The sequence below is a fragment of the Homo sapiens genome, chromosome 8 (assembly GCF_000001405.40).
Source record: "Homo sapiens chromosome 8, GRCh38.p14 Primary Assembly".
Lineage (NCBI taxonomy): Eukaryota > Metazoa > Chordata > Mammalia > Primates > Hominidae > Homo > Homo sapiens.
Window position 1 is genome coordinate 30,732,374 of NC_000008.11, and position 27,205 is coordinate 30,759,578.

General features: G+C 44.3%; 1 protein-coding gene, 2 long non-coding RNA genes and 1 pseudogene across 7 annotated transcripts in view, besides 3 other annotated features; 2 read left to right on the plus strand and 2 right to left on the minus strand.

The window, feature by feature from the left end:
* UBXN8 (UBX domain protein 8) overlaps positions 1–27,205 on the plus strand; it is a 37,872-nt gene that overhangs the window by 3,239 nt on the left and 7,428 nt on the right. The window contains exons 3-7 of one of the 4 annotated variants that reach the window (XM_011544655.3): positions 11,955–12,087; positions 19,023–19,145; positions 20,662–20,732; positions 22,292–22,414; positions 24,392–24,514. In XM_011544655.3, coding sequence (XP_011542957.1) covers positions 11,955–12,087; positions 19,023–19,145; positions 20,662–20,732; positions 22,292–22,414; positions 24,392–24,514 — 573 coding nt within the window. Of the gene's footprint in view, positions 1–11,790; positions 11,905–11,954; positions 12,088–19,022; positions 19,146–20,661; positions 20,733–22,291; positions 22,415–24,391; positions 24,515–27,205 lie in introns of those variants that run through there. The other 3 variants (NM_005671.4, NM_001282189.2, NM_001282199.2) reach the window with 3 other exon arrangements.
* LOC105379356 (uncharacterized) lies at positions 132–11,699 on the plus strand. Of its 2 annotated transcripts, none has more exons than XR_005646968.2 (2): positions 132–935; positions 1,474–1,951. It is a non-coding gene; the product is annotated as an uncharacterized LOC105379356 (long non-coding RNA). The 2 variants fall into 2 exon arrangements; XR_005646967.2 differs by lacking the exon at positions 1,474–1,951 and adding an exon at positions 11,338–11,699 and having other exon boundaries at positions 155–935.
* On the minus strand, positions 8,410–11,304 carry LOC105379355 (uncharacterized). The gene is made up of 2 exons (XR_949634.2): positions 10,372–11,304; positions 8,410–8,601 (listed from the first exon to the last, which is right to left on the minus strand). It is a non-coding gene; the product is annotated as an uncharacterized LOC105379355 (long non-coding RNA).
* Positions 11,300–11,439: an enhancer, noted in NCBI's record as "active region_27214". NCBI's record gives its function as "activates an Ori minimal core promoter by ATAC-STARR-seq in GM12878 lymphoblastoid cells {active_cell/tissue: GM12878}" and the evidence as "EXISTENCE:reporter gene assay evidence [ECO:0000049][PMID:35858748]".
* Positions 11,474–12,442: an enhancer, noted in NCBI's record as "H3K27ac-H3K4me1 hESC enhancer chr8:30601364-30602332 (GRCh37/hg19 assembly coordinates)". NCBI's record gives its function as "activates a minimal SCP1, AML or CMV promoter by ChIP-STARR-seq in primed H9 embryonic stem cells {active_cell/tissue: H9 hESC(primed)}" and the evidence as "EXISTENCE:reporter gene assay evidence [ECO:0000049][PMID:30033119]".
* Positions 11,680–11,759: an enhancer, noted in NCBI's record as "active region_27215". NCBI's record gives its function as "activates an Ori minimal core promoter by ATAC-STARR-seq in GM12878 lymphoblastoid cells {active_cell/tissue: GM12878}" and the evidence as "EXISTENCE:reporter gene assay evidence [ECO:0000049][PMID:35858748]".
* On the minus strand, positions 21,884–22,166 carry HIKESHIP3 (HIKESHI pseudogene 3; annotated as a pseudogene).

Here is a 27,205-nt window from a genome sequence, read left to right on the forward strand (position 1 = left end):
CGTTACTTGGGATTTACTATCCGACGGGGAGTGCAGCCTGGGATCAGAAAGAAAGCAGGTCATTTGTAATCTACCGGAGCCTAAGACCAGAAGGCAGGTGAGAGAATTCTTAGGGGCTGTGGGGTTTTGCAGACTGTGGATCCCAAACTTTGCAGTATTAGCTAAGCCTTTGTATGAGGTCACAAAGGGGGAGGGGACCGGGAACCTTTTGAATGGGGATCCCAGCAACAGCAAGCCTTTCATGAGTTAAAGGAAAGACTTATGTCAGCCCCAGCCCTGGGGCTACCCGATCTGACAAAGCCTTTTACATTGTATGTGTCAGAGAGAGAAAAGATGGCAGTTGGGAGTTTTAACCCAAACTGTGGGGCCCTGGCCGAGGCCGGTGGCCTACCTCTCTAAACAACTAGACGGGGTTTTTAAAGGATGGCCCCCATGTTTGAGGGCCTTGGCAGCAACTGCCCTGCTAGTACAAGAAGCAGATAAGCTGACTCTTGGGCAAAACCGGAACATAAAGGCCCCCCATGCTGTGGTGACTTTAATGAATACTAAAGGACATCATTGGCTAATGAGTGCTAGACTCACTAAGTACCAAAGTTTGCTTTGTGAAAATCCCCGTATAACCATTGAAGTTTGTAACACCCTGAACCCCGCTACCTTGTTCCCAGTATCAGAGAGCCCTGTTGAGCATGACTGTGTAGAAGTGTTGGACTCAGTTTACTCTAGCAGACCTGACCTCCGGGACCAGCCTTGGGCATCAGTAGACTGGGAACTATACGTGGATGGGAGCAGCTTTATCAACCCACAAGGAGAGAGATTTGCAGGGTATGCGGTGGTAACTCTGGACACTGTTGTTGAAGCCAGATCGTTGCCCCAGGGCACTTCAGCTCAGAAAGCTGAACTCATTGCTTTAATTCGGGCCTTAGAACTCAGTGAAGGTAAGACTGTAAACATTTACACTGACTCTTGATATGCCTTTTTAACCCTTCAAGTGCATGGAGCATTATATAAAGAAAAGGGCCTATTGAACTCTGGGGGAAAAGACATAAAATATCAACAAGAAATCTTGCAATTATTAGAAGCAGTATGGAAACCCCACAAGGTGGCAGTTATACATTGCAGAGGACACCAGCGAGCTTCCACCTTGGTGGGTTTGGGGAATTCCCACGCTGACTTAGAGGCTCGAAAAGCAGCATCTGCCCCCTTCCGGGCATCAGTGACAGCCCCCCTGCTCCCTCAAGCACCTGATCTTGTACCTACTTATTCTAAAGAGGAAAAGGACTTTCTCCAGGCAGAGGGAGGACAGATGCCAGCCACCGTGCCCAGCCTTATTTTTCTTTTAAAGTCAGGGGTCTCAAACTCCTTTCCTAGGCTCAAGAGATCCTCTGGCCTCAGCCTCCCGAGTAGCTGGGATTACAGGTGTGCATGTGCCCAGCTAGGAACTACATTTTGACCAACACTGTCTCTTGCCTTCAGGTGACTCTTAAATTTGAGAAACATTGGAATAGTGGATTAATTCGGAGTAGCGGTTTTTGTGATCCACAGATGAAGCACAGAGAAAAGGATAGAGATGGAGACACAAAAACATTGATCTCCCAAGCTGTAGAGACTGGGTCTCCTTTGGGAATATCTACAACTACCAACTGCACAACAAAGTAGTAAGTGCAGCTTCGAATTTGTCTTGTGGTAGGCCACGATCCTGTGCCCACAAGGACAGTGCACAGGTCATCCGAGCACACGGCTGAGCCCGGTAGGCAAAGGAAGGAAGGTCCAGGTCACAGGGCAGCGAGGCCCAGCACAATGAAGGAGAATGGAAACACACCACACCTCAATTAGAATGGGATCCAATTCTTTTACAAAAATTTTTTTCTGATTACAAAATTTAAGGGAAAAAGGGAAAGTTCTTCCTTCCTACAGACTGACATGTAATAAATGGAGATGGAACACACAAAAATCACCATTTTGGGCTGGGTGCAGTAGCTCACACTTGTAATCCCAGCACTTTGGGAGGCTGAGGCAGGAAGACCCCTTAAGCCCACGAGTTCGAGACCAACCTGAGCAACATAGGGGAGTTCCTCATATCCACAAAAAAATTAAAAATTAGCTGGGTGTGGTGGGATACACCTGTAGTCCTGGCTACTCTGGAGGGTAAGGTGAAAGGATCACTTGAGCCCAGGAATTCAAGGTTACAGTGAGCTATGATTGCACCACTGCACTCCAGCTTGGGTGACAGAATGAGACACTATCTCTTAAAAAAAAAAAAAATTTCTTTCAAACACTAGAGGATGCCAGGCACAGTGGCTCATGCCTGTAATCCCAGCACTCTGGGAAGGGAAGCCACAGAAGGAGGATCACTGTATTCTAGGAGTTCGAGACCAGCGTACGCAACATAGTAAGACCTGGTCTCTACAAAAAAATTAAAAATTAGTCAGGTGTGGTGGTGCACACCTGTAGCCCCAGCTACTCAGGAGGCTGAGGTAGCAGATCACTTGAGCCCGGGGCGTTGAGGCTGTGGTGAAATGTGATCACACCACTGTATTCCAGCCTGAGCAACAGAGTGAGACCGTGTCTCAAAAAAAACCCCACTGGACAAACGTAGGTGATTTCTATGAAGACATTATGAAATATTTCTCAAAATAATAAACCCATAATTAATTTGTATTGAGCTAAGCACTGTGCTAAGACCTTTATATGTTATCTTCCCTCAACCCAAGAAATAAATACTGTACTGTTATTGTCTCCATTTTATAGATGTGGACACTGAGGTTCAAAGAGGTTAAATAACTTGCACAAGATTAAACAGCTGGTGACTTGTGGATGTTTTGCTAGGATCGTCAAATAAAAATTCTGTAACGATAAAAAAATTTAAAAATTAAACAGCTGGTGAATGGCAGAGCAGGAATTCAAATTCTGAAGGCCTAACTCAGAAGCCTATTAACCATTATTAGAAAGAAACCATCACTGAGTATGTCTTACAGTGAAAATAAAAGACCAGCTTAGGCAACACAGGAAAACCCCGTCTCTACTAAATACAAAAATTAGCCAGAGTGGTGGTGTGTACCTGTAGTCCCACCCACTCAGGAGGCTGAGACATGAGTCTTGAACCCTGGAGGCCATGGTTGCAGTGAGCTGAGATGGCACCACTGCACTCCAATCTGGGCAACAGAGTGTGTCTCAAAAAAACAACGCCGAGCTCAGTGGCTCACGCCTATAATCCCAGCACTTTGGGAGGCCAAGGTGGTTGGATCACTTGAAGTCAGGAATTCAAAACCAGCCTGACCAACATGGTGAAACCCTGTCTCTACTAAAAATACAAAAATTAGCCAGGCATGGTGGCATGTGCCTGTAATCCCAGCTACTCAGGAGGCTGAGGCAGGAGAATCAATTGATCCTGGGAGGCAGAAGTTGCAGTGAGCTGAGATCACACTACCGCACCCCAGCCTGGGGGACAGAGTGAGACTCCGTTTCAAAACAAATAAACAAAAAAGTCCTTTCCCACTAATAGTGACTAATTCATATTACAACTCTGTGTTGAGGTTGTAGGTCAAGAGATACTGTGTCACCCGAAAGGTGGTGATGGTACTTCTATAAACAATTTGAGAAATTTATGCAGGAAATAGTGGTACAGAAATAACTTTGCAAATACAGGTTGCTCAATAAAATTTTTCATGTTCCATGTATGAAGATAATTGCAGTCACTTAGGATAAAAATAACACAAGGAAAGGAATAATTGAACATTACTCAGTTACCCAATATCAGTGTTTAATATTGAGATGAAAGATAAACACTGAAGAGGCAGAGAACAATAACTATAACTAAACGTGGAATTAACAAAAAGCAAGTTATACAGTAAAGGGAAAGAAATTTTCAGAGGGACATAGCAAGTCTGCCTTGTTGAGAAAACTGGATACATCCTCAGAAGATAACATCTAAAGGGAAATCACACATGCACTGAGGATCTCTTTCACGCTTTTGATCTCATTTCAGTAACATATCTTGAAAGATCATGGGGGAGATCATAAAAAGTTTTGGAAATAACACTACTACTCCTATTCTGAATATAAATATGTGGTATTGTTTCTGTAACTGTTTATTTTTATTTTTACTTTTTATTTTTTTGAGACGGAGTTTCGCTCTTATCTCCCAGGCTGGAGTGCAATGGCACAATCTCGGCTCACTTCAACCTTGCCTCCTGGGTTCAAGCGATTCTCCTGCTTCAGCCTCCTGAGTAGCTGGGATATCAGGCACCCACCACCATGCCCAGATACTTTTTGTATTTTTAGTAGAGACAGGGTTTTACCGTGTTGGCCAGGCTAGTCTCAAACTCCTGACCTCAGGTGATCCACTCGCCTTGGCCTCTCAAAGTGTTGGGATTACAAGCGTGAGCCACTGCACCCAGCCCTTGTTTATTTTTGAATTGTATTTTGCAATATTTAAGATAAACAAAGTACCTGTATAAAGAATAATACAATGGCACATCCACACCTCTTAGCTTAAGAAATGTAGTACTACCACACTGTCTAGTTCTACATAGCTATCCCAGTTGCACCCTTCTCCCTGTCTCCCTCCCCCAAGAGGTAATCAATGTCTTAAATGTGGTGTTTATCATTTCCTTCATTTATCTGTTCTTGGGAATAATGTTCATCATCAAAAAATAAATATTCATATAAGGGATTAATGTTCTTTTTGTTTAATTTTCATATATTTAGAAAAATAAGAAAAAAATCATAATTGCACCAGTCTAGCATAACCATTTTTCCTTGTTGACATATTTAAAGTTGTATCTGTGGATTCCATCAACTCTGTCATTTCTGGGTCTGTTTCTGTTGATTGATTTTTTTTTCTCCTGCTTGTGTTACCTTCTGCTTTTTGGCATGATGGTGCAGTTCCAGTCCAAAGGCAGTCTGTTGGGAAATCACTCTTACTCGGGGAAGCTGTTCTTTTCTTTCTATTCAGGCCTTTAGCTGACTGGATGAGGCTCACACACATAATGGAGGGCAATCTGCTTACTCAGAGTTAAGTGATTTAAATGTTAATTTCATCCAAAAACACCATCCCAGCTGACATATAAAACTAGTCATCACACACTAGTGTACAGACTCCATGGTGTGCAAGAATCTTGTCTTATTTGTGGCTATATCTCCAGCATCTGTAACAGCACCTGGGGTGTGGTAGGTGCATCATATTTATTGTTCATTGGATGAATCAAGTCTATGTGATTTTGGTGCCTAGTCTGAGCCCAGAAGGTCAAGGCTGCAGTAAGCCGTGATCTCACCACTGCACTCCAGCCTAAGCAACAGAGCGAGACCCTGTCTCAAACAAACAAAAAAATTAGGTATGGTAGTGCACACCTGTGGTCCCAGCTACTCAGGCGGCTGAGGTGGGAGGATCACGTGGGCCTGGGAGGTGGAGGCTGCAGTGAGCCGTGATTGTACAACCACACTGCAGCCTGGGCAACACGATTGGACCCTGTTAAAACAACAACAACCAACACACACACGTAGCCATCTTATTTTTTAGGGGGGAAAAAGAGACTACTAAAAGAGCAATTTCATAAGCCTAAATGTAAAAGCTAAAATACAAAGCTTTTAGAAGAAAATATAGAGGCCGGGCACGGTGGCTCATGCCTGTTATCTCAGCACTTTGGGACGCCAAGGTGGGCAGATTGCTTAAGCTCAGGAGTTGAAGACCAGCCTGAACAATATGGTGAAACCCTGTGTCTATTTAAAAAAAAAAAAAAATAGGAGAATCTCTCGACTTCAAGAAAAGCAAAGGTTTCTTAGGACACAGAAAGCAATAATCATAAAAGAAAACTTAGATAAATTGTCATCAAAATTAAAAACTTCTCATCAAAAAGTCAGTAACAGCTGGGTGCAATGACACATTCCTGTAGTGCCAGCTACTCAGGGGGCTGAGGCAGGATTGCTTGAGCCTAGGAGTTTGAGACCAGCCTGGGAAACAGAGCAATCAAGACTCTGTCTTTTTAAAAAATAATAATAATAATAAAGGCCGTGTGCGGTGGCTCACGCCTGTAATCCCAGCACTCGGGAGGCCGAGGCGGGCGGATCACAAGGTTAGGAGCTCGAGACCATCCTGGCTAACATGGTGAAACCCCTGTCTCTACTAAAAATACAAAAAAAATTAGCCGGCATGGTGGCAGGCGCCTGTAGTCCCAGCTACTCAGGAGGCTAAGGCAGGAGAATGGCCTGAATCTGGGAGGCGGAGCTTGCAGTGAGCCGAGATCGTGCCACTGCACTCCAGCCTGGGCGACAGCCTCCGTCTCAAAAAAAAAAAAAAAAAAAAGCTAGGCACGGTGGCTCACACCTGTACTCCCAGCACTTTGGGAGGCTCAGGTGGGTGGATCACCTGAGGTCAGGATTTGAAACCTGCCTGACCAACATGGTGAAACCTCGTATCTACTAAAAATACAAAAAATTAGCCAGGCGTGGTGGCGGGCGCCTGTAATCCCAGCTACACGGGAGGCTGAGGCAGGAGAATCGCTTGAACCTGGGAGACAGGGGTTACAGTGAGCTGAGATTGTGCTATTGCACTCCAGCGTGGGCAACAAGAGTGAAACTCCATCTCAAAAAAGGCTTTTTTGTTGTTGTTGCTGCTGTATGATTCATGTATATAATATTCTTGAAATGACAAAATTAAAGAGATGGATTTTAACTCAATTATACCTCAATTAAGATGGAGGGGGAAAAAAGGAGACGGAGACCAGACGAGTGGTTTCATGGGGGTTGATGGTGGTGAGGGTAGAAAGTGAGGTGGTTTGGCTGTAGAAGGGTAGCATGAGGAATTCCTGTGATGGAACTACTCTATATCTTGACTGTAGTGTTCAGAGAAATTGACACAGGTGATAATATTGCATAGAACTAAATCACACATGGCCGGGTATGGTGGCTCACGCCTGTAATCCCAGCACTTTGGGAGGCCGAGGCGGGTGGATCACGATGTCAGGAGATCAAGACCATCCTGGCTAACACGGTGAAACCCCGTCTCTACTAAAAATACAAAAAATTAGCCGGGCGTGGTGGCGGGCGCCTGTAGTCCCAGCTACTCGGGAGGCTGAGGAAGGAGAACGGCGTGAACCTGGGAGGTGGAGTTTGCAGTAAGCCGAGATTGTGCCACTGCACTCCAGCCTGGGTGATAGAGCGAGACCCTGTCTCAAAAAATAAAAATAAAATAAAAAAACTAAATCACACACACAAATGAGTATCTGTAACTGGTAAAATCTGAATGAAGTCACTGGATTGTGTCAATATATATTTCCTGTTTATGGTATTATACTGTCCTTATGCACAATTTTAACACTGGGGGAAATGGTAAAGGATTTATGCAATCTCCGTGACCTCTTATAACAACATGTGAATTTATAATTATCTCATAAAATGTTTAAAAAAGCATACAGTGTGAACAAAGCCTTATCCAAAGAGTACATTTTGTATAATTTACAGAAGTCCTAGAAGAGGCAAAATTAACCTATGGTGGAAAAAAATCAGAGCAATGCTTGCTCTCTGTGCAATGCTTTTTGCTTTTTGTTTTGAGACATGGTCTCTCTCTGTCGCCCAGGCTGGAGTGCAGTGTCACAAACACAGCTTACTGCAGCCTCCACCTCCTGGGCTCAAGTGATCCTTCTGCCTCAGCCTCTGGAGTAGCTGTGACCACAGGTGCATGCCACCACACCCAGCTAATTAAAAAATGTGTTTTTTTGTAGAGATGGGGTCTCACCATGTTGTCCAGGCTGGTCTCAAACTCCTGGGCACCTCAGCCTCCCAAAGTGCTGGGATTACAGGCATGAGCCGCCACGGTCAGTCAGTGCTTTGTATCTTGCTTGGGATTTAGGTTGCACTGGGTATGCATACATTGGAACTCAAGGAATGGTATGCTCATGATGTGTCCATTTCATTGTGTTTAATGATATGCACGATGAAGTATGTATATCATATGAAGTATGTGAAGGAAACCAGAAGGTGCCACCCCAAGATATGCCTCTTTGAGATAAAAATTATTTTTTGGCCAAAGGCAATTAAGGAGCAGAAAACAGGCCAGGCGCGGTGGTTCACACCTGTAATCCCAGCACTTTGGGAGGCCAACGCTAGAGAATCACTTGAGACCAGGTGTTCAAGATCAGCCTGAACAATATAGTAAGACCCCATCTCCTGGAAAAAAAAAAAAAGAAAGGAAAGAAAAAATAAAAATTAGCCAGTCATGGTGGCATGTGTTTGTAGTCCCAGCTACTCAGGAGGATGAGGTGAGATGATCGCTTGAGCCCAGGGGTTCCAGGCTGCAGTGAGCTATGCTTGTGCCACTGCACTCCAGCCTGGGTGACAAGAGTGAGACCCTTTTGGTGAGAATGGAGACACCAGTAACTTACAGCTTAACAATCACCAATGAGAACTAAGAGCTCTAAATCAACCTGATTTTACTGTTCCAGGAATTCTTACTCACGAAGATAGGCTATAGGTCAATCCATACCTTCATTCTGAGCTTTAGGAACTTCCCATTTATCTGGTCTCTAAGTTGCTCATCAGGCTGCAAAGCTTCCTTCTCAGGCACTGAGAAGTTGAGCTGATCATTGAATTGGGCAAATCACCTTCCTTGTCAAAAAAGAGGGAAAATCTAACTTCAATTTCTTCACCTTGTTGGGTGTACCGTCTCAAACTATTCTACCATGAACTATGTCCAATCCCAGTGAAATCTCCATATTGAAAAGACCACCTTAAACCACTCTAACTAGACTATAGAACCCTATAAAAATCGCCCTCTGTAAGGCCGAGGCTGGCAGATTGCTCGAGCCCAGGAGTTCAAGACCAGCCTGAGCAACATGGTGAAACCCTGTCTATAGAAAAAATAAAAAAGTTAGCCAGGCATGGTGACATGTGCCTGCAGTCCCAGCTACTCTGGAGGCTGAGGCAGGAGGACTGCTTGACCCTGAGAGGTCAAGGCTACAGTGGGCTGTGATTGTGCCACTGAACTCCAGCCTGTGTGACAGAGTGAGACCCTGTCTCATAAACAAATAAAAATCACCCTTGACGTCCCCTCTGAGACACGACTAAGATTATGTCAAAGCAATGTTCTTTTTTTTTTTTTTTTTTTTGAAACTGAGTCTCACTCTATTGCCCAGGCTGGAGTACAGTGGTATGATCTCACTGCAACCTCTACCTCCTGAGTTCAAGTGATTCTGGTACCTCAGCCTCCCGAGGAGCTGTTACTACAGGTGTGAGCCACCATGCCAGGCTAATTTTTGTATTTTTCGTAGAGACAGGGTTTCACCATGTTGGCCAGGATGGTCACAAACTTGACCTCAGGTGATCCACCCACCTCGGCTTCCCAAAGTGCTGGGATTACAGGCGTGAGTCACCGCGCCCGGCCACAATGTTCTTTTCTAATGCTGTAAGAAACTCAAATTTACTTACTGACAGGTTATTCTGGTGGTCTTTGGTGGGGAGAGCTAGCAGTTGCAGTGAAGAGAGTTCACAAACAACAAAGTTTGGGAAATGCTGGCTTCCCATATGTTAAGACAAGGTAAATTTGGATTGGTTAGGAACTGCCTTTTGTAGTCCAGAGAGAGATTCAATGGCGCCATCAACAGATTAAATTAGGTAATATGGAAGACCAGGGAGGAAGAAAAAAATACAGGAGGTAGGTGGTTAAGAACTGTAGAACTTCCTTTCCTGTCTTCCTCCTTATGCATGATGAACACAAGATACAGACTGTAGAACTTTCTTTCCTGTCTTCCTCCTTATGCATGATGAACACAAGATACAGACAACTATGGGAACATCTGAACTAGTCAATATAATTAATTATTTTATGGTATGTCATGCTGTAATTTATATTACCTCACCCTTACTGATCTTCAGATTGTGCCCTAATATTTTGCACCTTTGCTTGGAGGATAAAGTTCTTAGCCTATATACAAAGGAAAGCCTCTGCGGCCCTAGCAACAATCTACCTCTAAAAGCCTTCATTCAGCTTTATTTTATTTTTAGAGACAGGGTCTCACTATATCGCCCAGGCTGGAGTGCACTGGCATGATCTCAGCTCACTGCAGACTTGACCTCCTGGGCTCAAGTGATTCTCCCACCTCAGCCTCTTGAGTAGCTGGGAGCACAGGCTACGCCATCACGCGCAGCTATTTTTTTTTTTTAGACAGGTTTAGCTATGTTGCCCAGAGGGGTCTCGAACTCCTGAGCTGAAGCAATCTGCCTCCTTCCGCCTCCCAAAGTGCTGAGAATACAGGAGTGAGCTACCGCGCCCGGCCTCAAGCTCTAAACTGCAGCAATAATCACTGGTAGTTCCTTTGCACTCAGGTTCCTAAACTTGAAATCCCACCCTTCCCGGACATCCTTGCCCAGATTCCTAACCTTTGAACACAACGTAGGCGTGACTTCCTTTTGGAAAGCCTTTTGCAAGCCTTCTGGGTATGGTTCTGCAACACCCTGTGTATATCTCTATCATAGCACTCAGGAACTGCATTATGTTTATTTGCTTACAGGGCTATCTTTCCCAGTTTTTTTTTTTCTTCTCCATAGAACCACAAAGTCGGATAAGCTGAGTTTCTTGAGGACAAATTCAGTAACTTGTAAATATTTGAATATCCAAGAGTTGTAGAGTACCAAACTGTGGAGCTCAATAAATTTCAGATGAACTAAACTGAATAGTCAGGTGGGATGCTAGATGGATGGGTCAGGAAAAAGAATTTTCTTTTTTCTTGCAAAGTGTTGGGATTACAGGCGTGAGCCACCGCGCTTAGCCAGGAAATATAATTTCTTTCTTTCTTTTTTTTTTTTTTTTGAGACGGGGTCTCATTCTGTCGCCCAGGCTGGAGTGCAGTGGTGCAAACTCGGCTCAAAGCAACCTCCGCATGCGGGTTCAAGCAATTCTCCTGCCTCAGCCTCCCGAATAGCTGGAATTACAGGCGACCGCCACCACACCCGGCTAATTTTTGTATTTTTAGTAGAGACGGGGTTTCACCATATTTGCCAGGCTGGTCTGGAACTCCTGACCTTGTGATCCGCCCGCCTCGGCCTCCCAAAGTGCTGAGATTACAGGCGTGAGCCACCGCGCCTGGCCAGGAAAGATAATTTCCAAGTACGAAATGTTGTAGATTGGGAGGACCTCAGTAGCTTGGGAGAAGTGCACAGTGGTGAGTTATAGGACGGCAATGAGGTCATGGAACTATGAAGTCAAGGTTAACAATAACGCGTGCAGGCAAAACTGAAAAGGGGCGGAACAAGGGGTAGCGGGTCTCCAGGACCTGGCATTAGGACGTGCGTGTTAGGGGGCAGGTATTTGGAGCCAGGCCCCACTTTCGAGTTGTCTTTCCGCAGGAACCAGAGACTGCGGACGGGGCCAGGAACCAGGAACCGTTAGGGAGATAAGGAAGGTGTTATAGCCCACATTCATCCTATACGGCCACAAGGCCGGGGGGCCCAGGCTGCCTCCTCACAGCATCAGCTTTTTCTTCGGCTTCATTTCCCTCTGGAAAGCGCTTTCTCACAGACGCTGCAAAGACCGAAGGGGCAGCCCCTGCCCTGCTACCCTCCAGGGAGCCACCGCTCTAGAGCCCAGGCTCCTCTGGACATCATGTGACTTGGGGGACGACTTGCCTTTCTTCTGAAACACGGCTACAGACTATAACTTTAAAACACGGGGCTTAGCTCCCCCTCAATAACGACACGGCCGTCAGTATTTACCACGTTATTGACCCTCTCCCAGCCGGCCCGCGGCAAGAAGAGTTCCACTTCCTTCCCGGAAAACGCGGCCGGAAGGGGCGGGCTTTCCGCCTGCACCAGGCGCTTCCGCCACCATGGCTTCACGTGGGGTTGTTGGCATTTTCTTCCTCTCTGCTGTCCCCCTTGTGTGTCTGGAGCTCCGGCGTGGGATCCCGGATATAGGTAAGTGTGACTTTTTCCCTTCGACAGTCACAGCTGGGTAATTTTCACAGGAATGTTGCATAGAACGACCGCCTCTTCGGCTGCGTGGCTTCGGAGCAGCTTTGACTACAACTCCCAGACTGCATCGCCCCTGCCCCCCCACTTCCGGAGCTGACTTCACTTCGAGGAACCTTTTCCCTCCAGGTGTGATGGTTTTACGTGTAAGAGGGTAGAGGCAAAGAGCACAGGGGCAATCATAGACAGTGCTTTCGCATCCTGGCGAACACTGAAAAGGAAATAAACAGGTTGATAAGATGAAGGTCTTGTGAGAATTTAGGCTGAGAAGTTTTTTGTTTTGTTTTTAGAGACAGGGTCTCACTATGTTGCCCAGGCTGGTCTCGAACTCCTGGGTTCAAGAGATCCTCCTGCCTCGGCCTCTCAAAGTGCTGGGATTACAGGCCTACGCCACTGCGCCCGGCCCTAGGTTTAAATAAGGGGCCACGCCCGTGAAAAGCCAGTGGGGGCAGGGAAGGGATGGGGGAGGGGAGGAATATTTTAGGCAAAAAGATTGTGACACGTTGGAGGAAAAGGTGAAGGCCATTGTGGCTGAATCAAGGAGAGTTGGGAGGAGGAGGAGGAGGAATTGGCTCAGGATAATGACGTTTATTGAACACCTATTATAAGCCAAACACCAGGTGCTGGTTATTATCTCATTTAATCTGCACTGCAATCAGAGGAGGGTAGGCACTATTATAATCCCCATTTTACAGTTGAGGGAACTAAAATTTAGGGAGGTTAAGTGACTTCCCTAAGTTTTAAAAAGGTCACTCGATTCTGTATGGAGAATGCTTTGGACAGAAGCTATGGTGGAAGCAGTGAGGCACATCAGGCTTTGGAAGTTGACAAGTGGTGATGATGGCCTGGACTAGAACAATAACAGGAGATGAAATGTAGACAGAATTGGGATATTGACGGAGTAGGATCAACCAACAGGCTTTGTTTATGGGTTGATGTTTGGGGCAAGGGAAAGGAAGGATTCAAGGACGACTGCCTCATGGGGGACTGAGCAAACCTAGGTATTTGGTAGTGCTACTGGTAAAGGGGAAATGGAAAGAAAAACTGTGGAGATGCTGAGAATCATGAGTTGATTTTTGGACATTTCAGTGATCAGTTTACATGTCTGTCTCCCTTTTTAAGGTCAATTCTAAAGTTAGAGACCATAATGAAACTTGGCTTTGTGTACTCCCTCTCTTTCTCCACATTTTCTCCCTGCTCACAAGGAGTCAGATGCCTAGAAATGTTGCGTGCAATAAGAAATGAAAATAAAATGCTTTAAAAAAATGTACAAAGACTGTCCTGAAGCTTCTCACTCACTCAAGCTGTGTTGGAATATAACAAGACCTTTATCCAAAGGATCAGAAATGTTGAATTCACACTCACCATTTCCGCAATTCACCTGTTCCCTTGTCTTTTCAACATCCACCCCTACTCTGCTCATTTATTATTTTTTGAGACAAGGTCTTGCTCAGTCACCCAGGCTGCAGTGCAGTGGCACGGTCATGGCTTACTGTAGCCTGGACTTCCCGGCTCAAGTGATCCTCCCACCTCAGCCTTCTGAGTAGCTAGGAATACAGGGGCCACACCACCATGCCTTGCTTATTTTTTGTATTTTTTTGCAGAGATGTGGTTTTGCCATGTTGCCCAGGCTGGTCTGGAACTCCTAGGCTCAAGCAATCCACCCACTTCGGCCACCCAGAGTGCTGGGATTATAGGTGTGAGCCACCGTGCCCAGCCAGAAATATGCTTCTTGAAGGCAGAGACCAAATGGAATTTGTTTTTGTATTCCCAGCACTTACCAGTGTCTAGTTTAATAGAACTAGGGACAAGGGTTCTATAAATTGCACCTGGGCTCCTGGCAGCATCTTTATCTAGTTCTTGAAATTTTCATGGGATTAGCTTCTTTCTCAGAATTCTGAACGAATGATTGTTTCCTTTGGATTGTTTCCTCTTTTCAGTTTTCTTTTTTTAATATATATTTTTTCCTTTTTTTTTCTGCTACCTTTGGATTCTTGATAGTGAGCTTCCAATAATTATTTCTTAACAGTATTTAAGTCTGTTTTATACATCATACTTTATACCAGCAGCAGGGCTGGTTATGCCTATACTGATATTCAGACATATATTGAAAAACTAGCCTTGTCTTTTTCTACTGTGTAAAAACCTTTATTGTCAATACATTTTACTTGTACTTAAGCTAGATTTTTTTTTTCTTTTTTTTTTTTTTGAGACGGAGTCTCACTCTGTCACCCAGGCTGGAGTGCAGTGGTGCAGTCTCAGCTCACTGCAACTTCCGCCTTCTGGGTTCCAGCGATTCTCCTGCCTTAGCCTCCTGAGTAGCTGGGACTACAGGCATGCACCACCATGCCCGACTAATTTTTTTGTATTTTTAGTAGAGGCGGGGTTTCGGTATGTTGTGCCAGGTTGGTCTCCAACTCCTGACCTTGTGATCCACCCGCCTCGGCCTCCCAAAGTGCTGGGATTACAGGCGTGAGCCACCGCGCCCTGACTAAGCTAAATATTTTAAGGCCAGTTCCTCACGTTGAAGTACACTGCTTATGGGGTCTATAGTTTAAGTACACAAAAAAATCCCAGCACTCTGGGAGGCCGAGGCAGGCGAGTCATGAGGTCAAGTAATCGAGACCATCCTGGCCAACATGGTGAAACGCTGTCTCTACTAAAAATACGAAAATTAGCGGAGCATGGTGGCGCACGCCTGTAGTCCCAGCTTCTTGGGAGGCTGAGGCAGGAGAATCGCTGGAACCCGGGAGGTGGAGGTTGCAGTGAGCCGAGATCACACCACTGCACTCCAGCCTGGCAACAGAGTGAGATTCCATCTCAAAACAAAAACAAAAACGAAAAAACCTTAAAATTTTTTTTCTTTAAAGGTATACACACAAATATAGTTCTTTCATATTCTCATGTGATGTTTGCAAATTGCTTGTTAGAACGAACAGCAGTAGTATGGAACATAAATCCCACACCTCAGTGGTGTTTTTTTTTTTTTTTTTTTTTGAGACAGAGTCTTACTCTGTTGCCCACGCAGGAGTGCAGTGGCACAATCTCTGCTCACTGCAACCTCCGCCTCCCAGGTCCAAGCCATTATCCTGCCTCAGCCTCCCAACTAGCTGGGATTACTGGTGTGCACCACTGTGCCTGGCTAATGTTTGTATTTTTAGTAGAGACGGGGTTTCACCATGTTGCCCAGGCTGGTTACAAACTCCTGAGTTCAAGTGATCCACTCACCTCAGCTTCTCAAAGTGCTGGGATTATAGACGTGAGCCACTGCGCCTGGCCTCAATGGTTTCTTTACATACCAATACTCTAGATATTAAACTACTTTTGTATTGGCCAGAGATAAAATAGATTAAATTATGTGTTGTATTGAATAACACCTGAATCAACAGTTAATACTGGCAAGTTGGAGGAGCCGTGATTTTTTTTTTAAAGTCATACTTCTTCTCTAAGCAACTTTAAATTGCTAGGGTTTTTAAAGAATATTGGGCCAAGCAAGGTGGCTCATGCCTGTAATCCCAGCACTTTGGGAGGCCAAGTTTTCTTTTTTTAATATATATTTTTTCTTTTTTTTTTTTTTTTTTTTTTTTGCTACCTTTGGATTCTTGATAGTGAGCTTCCAATAATTATTTCTTAACAGCATTTAAGTCTGATTTACACATCATACTTTATACCAGCAGCAGGGCTGGTTATGCCTGTACTAATATTCAGACATATATTGAAAAACTAGCCTTGTCTTTTTCTACTGTGTAAAAACCTTTATTGTCAATACATTTTACTTGTACTTAAGCTAAATTTTTTTTCTTTTTTTTTTTGAGATGGAGTCTCACTCTGTCACCCAGGCTGGAGCGCAGTGGTGCAGTCTCAGCTCACTGCAACTTCCGCCTTCTGGGTTCAAGTGATTCTCCTGCCTCAGCCTCCTGAGTAGCTGGGACTACAGGCATGAACCACCATGCCCAAGAAAGGAGGATCATTTGGAAAAAATATATATATATTATCTGATGGCCCACATCTGTGGTCCCAGCTACTTGGGAGGCTGACATGGGACGACTGCTTGAGCCCTGGAGGTTGTGGCTGCAGTGAGCTGTTATCAACTGCTGCACTCCAGCCTGGGCAAGAGAGTGAGAGGCCATCTGAAAGAAAAAAAAAAAAAAGGCAAGAATATACATCTATCTGTTTTCAGTTTAAAATAAAACATTTAAGTCTATATATGTTTTTTTCTTTTTTTTTGAGACAGAGTTTCACTCTGTTGCCCAGGCTAGAGTGCAATGGCATGATCTCTGCTCACTGCATCCTCTACCTCCCAGGTTCAAGTGATTCTCCTGCCTCAGCCTCCCAAGTGTCTGGTATTACAGGCACCCACCATCATGCCTGGCTAATTTTTGTATTTTGGTAGAGATGGAGGTTTCACCGTGTTGGCCAGGTTGGTCTTAAAGTCCTGACCTCAGGTGATCCACCCGCCTTGGCCTCCCAAAGTGCTGGGATTACAGGCATGAGCCATCTCGCCCGGCCTATATATATGTTTTTCTGATTCCTTCTTTAAGTTTTAGTTAATTGACTAATTACCAGCCTTGATCACGTTGGATTCCTCTGTATCTCTGCCATTTATCTTTTGAAAATTAAAAACACAAAACGAGTAAAAATTCCAAGAGGATGGAAATCATTTTTAACCCAGCTTTGTTTCCTGTCCCTCAACATTTGCCAAATTGTATTATGCAAAGTAGGTAGTTAGATTTCTGCTCAAATAATTTTCACTTTGGTTCTTAATATAACACCAAATACTGGCTGGGTGCGGTGGCTCATGCCTGTAATCCCAGCACTTTGGGAGGCTGAGGCCAGCGGATCACCTGAGGTCAGGAGTTTGAGACCAGCCTGTCCAACGTGGTGAAACCCCATCTCTACTGAAAATACAAAACTAGCCAGGCATGGTGGTGCATGCCTGTAGTCCCAGCTACCCAGGAGGCTGAGGCAGGAGAATAGCTGGAACCCAGGAGGCAGAGGTTGCAGTGAGCCAAGATTGCGCCACTGCACTCCAGCCTGAGCAACAGACTGAGGCTCCGTCTCAAAAAAAAAAAATAAAATAAATAAATAAATAAATAGACCAAATACTATATTTTTACTTTTTCCTCCGCAAGCATGTAAATCGTAATTTTACTTACAAGTGACTAAATGTCAAGAAATAAAGAAGCACACAGTTGCACAATTTGTGAGAAATAAGAATTTGGTGTTTCAGTGAGATTATCATAGAACTAGAATTTGACACGATATTTTCTTTTTTTCTTTTTTTTTTTTTTTGAGACAGAGTCTCTCTCTGTCGCCCAGGCTGGAGTGCCATGGCACGATCTTGGCTCACTGCAAGCTCTGCCTCACAGGTTCATGACATTTTCCTGCCTCAGCCTCCCAAGTAGCTGGGACTACAGGTACCCGCCACCGCGCCCAGCTAATTTTTTGTATTTTTATTAGAGACAGGGTTTCACCGTGATAGCCAGGATGGTCTGGATCTCCTGACCTCTGATCTGCCTGCCTCGGCCTCCCAAAGTGCTGGGATTACAGGTGTGAGCCACCACACCTGACCAACACGATGATATTTTCAGTTTTATTTCTAGTTATGTAATTTTCTCTATATGGGAAACTACAACTTATACATTACTGATATTCATAATATAGTGTAGCTGATCGCTCTAATTGTAACTGTATTCCCAAGATAGTGTTTATTCTAGAATTATGCTCTGTACATTTGTTCTGGAAATGACAACCATCATGAGTTTTTTAATGCCCAAAGGAGAGTACAGTAAACCCTCTGTATCCCTGAGTTCCACATTGAGCATTTAAGCACCTGTGGATTGAGACTATTCAGAAAGGGCTGGGTGTGGTGGCTCACACCTACAATCCCAGGACCTTGGGAGGCCGAGGCGAGCAGATTGCCCGTGTTCAGGAGCTCAAGACCAGCCTGGACAACATGGCGAGACCCCATCTCTACAAAAAATACAGAAATTAGCCGGGTGTGGTGGTACGTGCCTGTAGTCCCAGCTACTTGGGGGCACTAAGGCAGGAGGCCCTCCTTGAGCCCCAGGAGGTTGAGGCTGCAGTGAGCCGTGGTCTCACCATTGCACTCCAGCAGCCTGGGTGGCAGAGCAAGACCAAGAAGAGCAACACCCTGTCGGCCGGGCACGGTGGCTCACGCTTGTAATCCCAGAACTTTGGCAGGCTGAGGCGGGCGGATCATGAGGTCAGGAGATCGGGACCATCCTGGCTAACATGGTGAAACCCCGTCTCTACTAAAAAATACAAAAAATTAGCCAGGCGTGGTGGCAGGCACCTGTAGTCCCAGCTACTCGGGAGGCTGAAGCAGGAGAATGGCATGAACCTGGGAGGCAGAGCTTGCAGTGAGCCGAGATCATGCCACTGCACTCCAGCCTGGGCAACAGAGCGAGACTCTGTCTCAAAAAAAAAAAAGAAGAGCAACACCCTGTCTCTTAAAAAAAGAAGGAAAAAAAAAAAGAAAATATTCAGGAAAAAAATGGATAAATGGATGTTTGTCTGTCTGTCCCGAACATCTACAGGCTTTTTTCCCCGTCGTTAGTCCATAAACAATAAAGTATAGCAACTATTTATAGAGCCTTTACATTGTATTGGGTAGTATATGAGTCATCTATAGATGATTTAAAGTATGTGGGAGCATAGACTGTATGCAAACACTGTGCCATTTTATATCAGGGACTTGAGCATCCGTGGATTTTGGTATACTCAGGAGTCCTGGAACCAATACCCCATGAATACTGAGGGATGACTATTATATGAACAAAATCATAAGACAGTTGTATAACTTCTACTATACTTTTCCAGTACAAATAATCTTCTAATGTGTTATAATTTATTAGGAGTATCAAGAAAAATGTTTTGGGTTGGGCATGTTGGCTCATGCCTATAATCCTAGCACTTTGGGAGGCCAAGGCAGGAGGATCACGTGAGCTCAGGAGTTCGAGACCAGCCTAGTCAACATAGTGAGACCTCATCTCTTAAAAAAAAAGTTTTGAATTTTAATTTTAGTTTTTTTCCTTTATCAGGAATCAAGGATTTTCTTTTGCTTTGTGGCCGGATTTTGCTACTGCTTGCTCTTCTTACTTTAACTATTTCTGTGACTACCTCATGGCTTAACTCATTTAAATCTCCCCAAGTTTATCTGAAGGGTAAGTTTATTATTTATTCTACCCTTTTATACCATTCTACTCAAATTTATTTATTCTAGAACTTTGCACAGTAAGAGCCATTTTACTATTAATTTGTGATGTGTAGTTTCAGGGAGAGTAATCAGTACAACTTTAGTCATGATTTTTTGTGTTGGTTTTTAAACATTAGTGATGATTGTTTTGCATGGAGTATATCCCAACATTTTTATGAGAAATTGTACATTTTTCTTATATATGTGTTTTAAAGCTATATCATTTCTAAGTTGTTATATGGTAAATTCCCTAATTTTAAATTGTGTGTTTGTGCTGCTTAACTGCCATTTGATACCTACAGTTTATGAGCTGTTCTACAGAGTCAATGTATCTACCATTAAACTTTTTTTTTTTTTTTTTTGAGATGGAGTCTCACTCTGTCACCAGCTGGAGTGCAGTGGCATGATCTTGGCTCACTGCAACCTCCACCTCCTGGGTTCAAGTGATTCTCCTGCCTCAGCCTCCCGAGTATTTGGGACTACAGGCATGCACCACCATGCCAGCTAATTTTTGTATTTTTTGTAGAGACAGGGTTTCACCATGTTTACCAGGATGGTCTCGATCTCTTGACCTCGTGATCCGCCCACCTCGGCCTCCCGATGTGTTGGGATCACAGGCATGAGACACCACACCCGGCCAATCTACCATTAATCTTGAAAGGCTTTTCATCCTAATGTTTTATTCCATTCTAGCAGTTTTTACTTAGGCACCTTTGTCTTTTATATGTAAATGTTTTTAATTTTAGGAAATCATGCTTGTTTTTAGTTTTTTAATTTGAGACAGAGTCCCGCTCTGTCACCCAGGCTGGAATGCAGTGGCGTGCTTGGCTCACTGCAACCTCCTCCTCCCAGGCTCAAGTGATCCTCTCGCCTCAGCTTCCCGAGTAGTTGGGACTACAGGTGTGTACCACTGCACCTGGCTAATTTTTGTAGTTTTTATAGTTTTTGTAGAGGTGGGATTTCGCCATGTTGCCCAGGCTGGTCTCTAGCTCCTGAGCTCAAGTCCTGCCTCAGTCGCCCAAAATGCTGGGATTACAGGCTTGACCCACTTCACCCAGCCTGTTTGATTTTTGATAAGCAAAAGTTTGTGAGTCCTAGAAGCCTTTTAAAATAATATTGTACTTAGCCTCAGAATAGGTGAATCTTAAAACCAAAAACTACATATTTTCTATGCTACTAGGAAGAAGCTTGTCATTAGTGAATTTGGTACATTGTGTTTTGTTTCACTGTTTATTAAAATGTAAGTAAATAAAAGGAAAGTGACCAGTATTTAATGTATAGCCCTTTCAAATTAACTGTGAACAAAACCATAATCCTAAAAGGTTATACTATTCAACCCAAACATAAATGACAATGTGATGTGTTAGGGTCTCCCCATCATAGACTTTAGATTTTTTTCTTTCTTTTGATACATTATTTGATTGGTTGTACTTCAAATAAGATACTTGGGAAGTAAAAAGCACTTTTATGTTTTGATGTCTTAGAAGAAGAAGAAAAGAATGAGAAAAGACAAAAACTTGTGAGAAAAAAACAACAAGAAGCACAAGGAGAGAAGGTAAGGCAGAATTTTTAGAGACTTTATGCGTAGAGAAATACAAAAATCTCTGAGGCAATTAAAATTAAGGGCTGTTGCTTCTGTCTTGGTGCTAAGATTTTAAAAAATATATAATGAGGTCAAATTCACGTGACATAAATTGACCATTTTATTTTACTTATTTATTTTTGAAATGGAGTCTCGCTGTGTCACCTAGGCTGGAATGCAGTGGCGAAATCTCGGCTCACTGCAATCTCCACCTCCCAGGTTCAAGTGATTCTCCTGCCTCTGCCTCCCGAGTAGCTGGGATTACAGGTGCGCACCACCACACCCAGCTAATTTTTGTATTTTTAGTAGAGATGTTGTTTTGCTATGTTGACCAGGCTGGTCTTAAACTCCTGACCTCAGGTGATCCACCTGCCTCGGCCTCCCAAAATGCTGGGATTACAGGCATGAGCCACCATGCCCAGCCAAAACTGACCAAGCTGTTCAGTGACATTTAGTACATTCACAAGGCTGTACAACTACCACCTCTGTTCCATCTTCTGTAAAGAAAACCGTATACTCTTTAAACAGTCACTCCCCACTCTGCCCTCATCCCATCCTCTGAAAACCACCAATCTGCTTTCTGTTGGTATGGATTTACCTATTGTGGATGAATAATATTCCATTGAATAGATATACCACTTTTTTTTTTTTTTTTTTTGAGACTGGGCCTCTCTCTGTTGCCCAGGCTGGGGTGGAGTGGTACAACCATACCTCACTGTCGCCTCAAATTCCTGGGTTCATGGGATCTTCCTGCCTCAGCTTCCTGGGTAGCTGGAACTACAGGCACACACACACCACCATGCTCAGCTAATTTTTAAAAAATTTTGGGCCAGGCGTGGTGGTGCACGCCTGTAATCCCAGCACTTTGAGAGGCTGAGACGGGTGGATCACGAGGTCAAGAGATCGAGACTATCCTGGCCAACAAGGTGAAACCCTGTCTCTACTAAAAATACAAAAATTAGCTGGGCGTGGTGGCAGGCACCTGTAGTCCCAGCTACTTGGGAGACTGAGGCAGGACAATCACTTGAACCCAGGAGCCAGAGATGGCAGTGAGTGGAGACTGCACCACTGCACTCCATCCTGGGTGACAGAGTGAGACTCCATCTCAAAACAAAAACAAAAACAAAGGATGTTGGCTTCCCTCTCCAGATTTAAGATCTGAAATTCTAAAGATGGCACTTGGTTTCCCATTTGTGACAAATCCTTGGAGTTGCCATACCGGCATTCAATTTGAATCAGGATAGGAAAAGTAGATCCTCCCATTCTCTCAGGAAATGGGATTGTTCCCAGCATGAAAACCACAACCTGGTTGATACTGTCATAATCAGGCAGGTCAAAAACAAATGCCTGTCCCGCTTGCTGTCCAGCTGTCGGCACGAGCCTCCCCACAACCAAGCAGCCAAACAGGGTGGCAGTGGCTCTGTTCAGCCAGCAGGGTTCTTACTTGGTTCTTATTTACAACTTTATAGACAGTGTACATTTTTAGGAACATTAATGGATAGTAACAACACCTAATTTGTTGTTTTCAACAGGCCAGCAGATACATAGAGAATGTTTTAAAACCTCACCAGGAAATGAAATTGAGAAAACTGGAGGAGCGCTTTTATCAAATGACGGGTGAAGCCTGGAAATTAAGCAGTGGTCACAAACTTGGGGTTGGAAAATATTCTCATTTTATATTTTGAATCCTCTTACTATGTTTCCTATTACATGATTGATTTTTAATTGAAAATGATGTTAGACTGCTTTTAGGAGTTTTTATTGATAATGATTATCAGTTTTTGTTCAGCATACTTGTTTATTACATGGTTAAGGGGTTGGTCGTTTTTTTTTTTTTTTTGAGATGGAGTCTTGCTTTGTTCCCCTAGGCTGGAGTTCAGTGGCACAATCTCGGCTCACTGCAAGCTCCGCCTCCCAGGTTCATGCCATTCTCCTGCCTCAGCCTCCCGAGTAGCTGGGACTACAGGCGCCTGCCACCATGCCCAGCTAATTTTTTGTATTTTTAGTAGAGATGGGGTCTCACCGTGTTAGCCAGGATGGTCTCAATCTCCTGACCTCATGATCCGCCCGCCTCACCCTCCCAAAGTGCTGGGATTACAGGCGTGAGCCACTGAGCCCAGCTGGTCTTTGTTTTTAAAAGACAGTCTCTCTCTCTTGCCCTGGCTGGGGTGCAGTGGCACGATCATAGCTCACTGCAGCCTCAAACTCCAGGGCTCAAGGGATCCTCCTGCCTCAGCTTCTTAAGTAGCTGGGACTATAGGTGCACCCTACCATGGACTGCACCTGGCTGGTTAAGTGGTTTTTGGTGCCTAAAGAGCATATAACTTGGTTCCTTAAAAAGCTGTTGTGGTGGCTAACGCCTGTAATCCCAGCAATTTGGAAGGATGAGGCAGGCAGATTGCTTGAGACGAGGAGTTTGAGACCAGCCTGGGCAACATAGGAAGACCCTGTCTCTACAAAAAAAAAATTAAAAATTAGCCAGACGTGGTAGTGTGTGGCTGTAGTCTCAGCTACTTGGGAGGTTGAGGCAGGAGGATCACTTGAGCCCAGGAGGTCAAGAGGCTGCAGTGAGCTGTGACTGTACCACTGCACTCTAGGCTGGGAGACAGAGCAAGACCCTTTCTCCAGAAAAAAAAAAAAAAAAAAAAAGAAGACTGACTGTGACATAAGATAGTCTTTAAAACTGTCAAATAAATTGTTATTGTCTTATATGAGGACAAGAATATTCTGATCTTTCCTCAAGTCAAGATCTCCAAGGTATTAAGCTCAGGTTATATATGTTATTATATATTATATATTCTGATTTTTAAGTCAAATTAAACTTTGGTTATGTTTTCCTTCAGCATTGAATATGAATTTTGTCAGTTTCTATAGAAGTTTACAATTTTAAATTTTCTTTTTTTTTTTTTTGAGGCTGAGTCTCACTCTGTCGCCCAAGTTGGAGTGCAATGGCACCATCTCAGCTCAATGCAACCTCTGCCTCTCAGGTTCAAGCAATTCTTCTGCCTCAGCTAATTTTTGTTTTTGAGACAGAGTCTCTCTCCATCGCCCAGGCTGGAGTGCAGTGGTGCGATCTCAGCTTACTGCAACCTCCGCCTCCTAGGCTCAAGTGATTTTCCTGCCTCAGTCTCCCACGTAGCTGGGATTACAGGTAACTGCCACCGCGCCCAGCTAATTTTTGTATGTCTTTTTAGTAGAGATGGGATTTCACCATGTTGGCCAGGCTGGTCTCTAACTCCTGACCTCCTGTGATCTGCCCACCTCGGCGTTCCAAAATGCTGTGATTACAAGCGTGAGCCACCATACCCGGCCAATTTTTGCATTTTTTTAGTAGAGATTGGGTTTCACTGTGTTAGCCAGGCTGGTCTTGAACTCCTGACTTCAGGTGATCTGCCCTCCTCAGTCTCCCAAAGTGCTGGGATTACAGGTGTGAGCCATAGCACCCGGCTCAAGCCTCGTGTTTTCCTGTCCACGGAGATAATGCTTTAATTTTTTGGGTCTCATAATGGCTTGCTAATATTTTTCTACTGATATGCCATCAGGGTAAAAAAAGGAAAAAGGAAAAACAATTGTGAATAGAATAAAGTTGATAGAAAACATCTCTTTAGAAATTGTCTGTTGTGTTTGACCAGGGTGATGAAGGTACAAGTCAGACATCTTTTGAAACATCAAACAGAGAAGCAGCAAAGAGCCAGAACTTGCCTAAACCTTTAACTGAATTTCCGTCTCCTGCTGAACAGCCCACATGCAAGGAGGTAAAGTACTTCATGCCTCTCATTGAATTGTGTCTGTGTGCAGTAGGAGTATTGAACTCTGGGTGAGGTGGTATACTGGGTGAAGATCAGGACTGGCCTTTCATCCAGATGGTGTCTTCCCACTGCCTTACAAAGCAATCACCCCAGAATAGGCCGGGCATGGTGGCTGACATCTGTAATCCCAACACTTTGGGAGGCCGAGGCCGATGGAGGTTGAGGCCAGGAGTTTGAGACCAGCCTGGCCAACATGGTGAAACCCCATCTCTATTTAAAAAAAAAAAAAAAGAATAATTTTCCCTGTTCAATATTAATGATGTTCTGAATCCAACTTGGAAGCAATAAAGACAAATGATAATAGGTTTAGAAAATACTCAATTCTTAGCCAGGCACTGTGGCTCATGCCTGTAATCCCAGCACTTTGGGACATGAAGGCAGGCAGATCACCTGAGGTCAGGAGTTCAAGACCAGCCTGGCCAACATGGTGAAACCCCATCTCTACTAAAAATACAAAAAAATTAGCTGGGCGTGGTGGCAGGCACCTGTAATCCCAGCTACTGAGGAGGCTGAGACAGGAGAATCGCTTGAACCTGGGAGGTGGAGGTTGCAGTGAGCCAAGATTGCACCATTGCACTCCAGCCTGGACAACAGTAGTGAAACTCCATCTCAAAAACAAAAAACAAAAAACAAAAAGGGCTGGGCATGGTGGCTCATGCCTGTAATCCCAGTAGTTTGGGAGGCCGAGGTGGGTGGATCACGAGGTCACGAGTTCAAGACCAGCCTGGCTAAGATGGTAAAACCCCATCTCTACTAAAAATACAAAAATTAGCCAGGTGCAGTGGCAGGCGCCTGTAATCCCAGCTACTCAGGAGGCTGAAGCAGGAGAATCTCTTGAACCCAGCGGGGTGGAGGTTGCAGTGAGCCTAGATTGCGCCACTGCACTCCAGCCTGCGCGACAGAGTGAGACTCCGTCTCAAAAAAAAAAAAAAAAAAGAATTGATATTTTTTCTTTGTTTTTTTGAGACAGAGTCTCACTCTGTCGCCCAGACTGGAATACAGTGGTGAAATCTCAGCTCACTGCAGGCTCTGCCTCCTGGGTTCACACCATTCTCACCATTCTCCTGCCTCAGCCTCCCGAGTAGCTGGGACTACAGGCGCCCACCACCCCACCCAGCTAATTTTTTTGTATTTTTAGTAGAGACGGGGTTTCACCATGTTAGCCAGGATGGTCTCAATCTCCTGACCACGTGATCCGCCCGCCTTGGCCTCCCAAAGTGCTGGGATTACAGGCGTGAGCCACTGCGCCCAGCCGAAAATACTCAATTCTTTTTAAGGAATTTGATTATGTAAAAATGAAAAATATAATGCTTACGAAGGGAAGCATTCCTATTAACTTAAGAACATTATCAAGCCCTATCTTGTGAGTGGCTAATAGCTGTTATTAACATGAGTGTATAATTTTCCTTACTGGCCCTTCTAGGGAATAGATTAGCAATCAGTCACTTTGGATTAGTGCCCAGGTTTATTATACATGTTGTTCATTCAAATCTTCAATCCTTAACTAAGTTAATTCCAATTGGAGCTGGAAAAGATTAGAAATAAGAAATCTGTTTTTACTGGCCCTTAGGGAAAGCTGGGAGGCTGTCTATTCCCTGAAAATAGTTTCTAAGATATTGCTTCTCAATCTGAGATTTCCTGGTCCCATAGTGGAGATTGAGCAGGGGAATCAGATTATTGAACTATCACTGACCTTTGAAAAAGATCGATATGAACTAAACGGACTGATTAAAAATTCATGTTTGTGTTTTGTTAATGACACTGTCTTATGCTGATGGCAGATTTTACTTGACAGTCACATATGCTTTTGATACCAAAGGAAAACAAATGAGTTATTTAGCAAATGCAGGTAAGGTTAGATTAAATGTTATAAAATATACTCTATGGTATTAATAAAGAGTTCCTGGAGATGAAGTCATTGGTAACAAATGTTTTTTTTGTTTGTTTTTTTTGTTTTTTTTTTTTTTTTTGAGACGGAGTCTCGCTTTGTCACCCAGGCTGGAGTGCAGTGGCGTGATCTCGGCTCACTGCAAGCTCCTCCTCCCGGCTTCACGCCATTCTCCTGCCTCAGCCTCCCGGGTAGCTGGGACTACAGGTGCCCGCCACCACGCCCGGCTAATTTTTTGTATTTTTAGTAGAGACAGGGTTCCATCGTGTTGGCCAGGATGGTCTCGATCTCCTGACCTCATGATCTGCCCTCCTCGGCCTCCCAAAGTGCTGGGATTACAGGCGTGAGCCACCACGCCCGGCCACAAATGTCTTAATGAAAGAAAATGGTCTAAATATCTGGATTATTTTATTTTTATTTTTTTGAGACAGAGCCTCACTCTGTCACCCAGGCTGGAGTGCAGTGGCACAGTCATGGCTCACTGCAATCTCTGCCTCCTGGGTTCAAGAGATTCTCATGCCTCAACCTCCTGAGTAGCAGGATTACAGGTGTGCGCCACCACGCCTAGCTCATTTTTGTATTTTTAGTAGAGATGGGGTATCACCATGTTGGCCAGGCTGGTCTCAAACTCCTGACCTCAGGTGATCTGCCTGCCTCAGCCCCCGAAAGTTCTGGGATTACAGGCGTGAGACACCACACCCAGCCCAATATCTGGATTCTTAATAGATTAATGGAAATAGGGAAACATG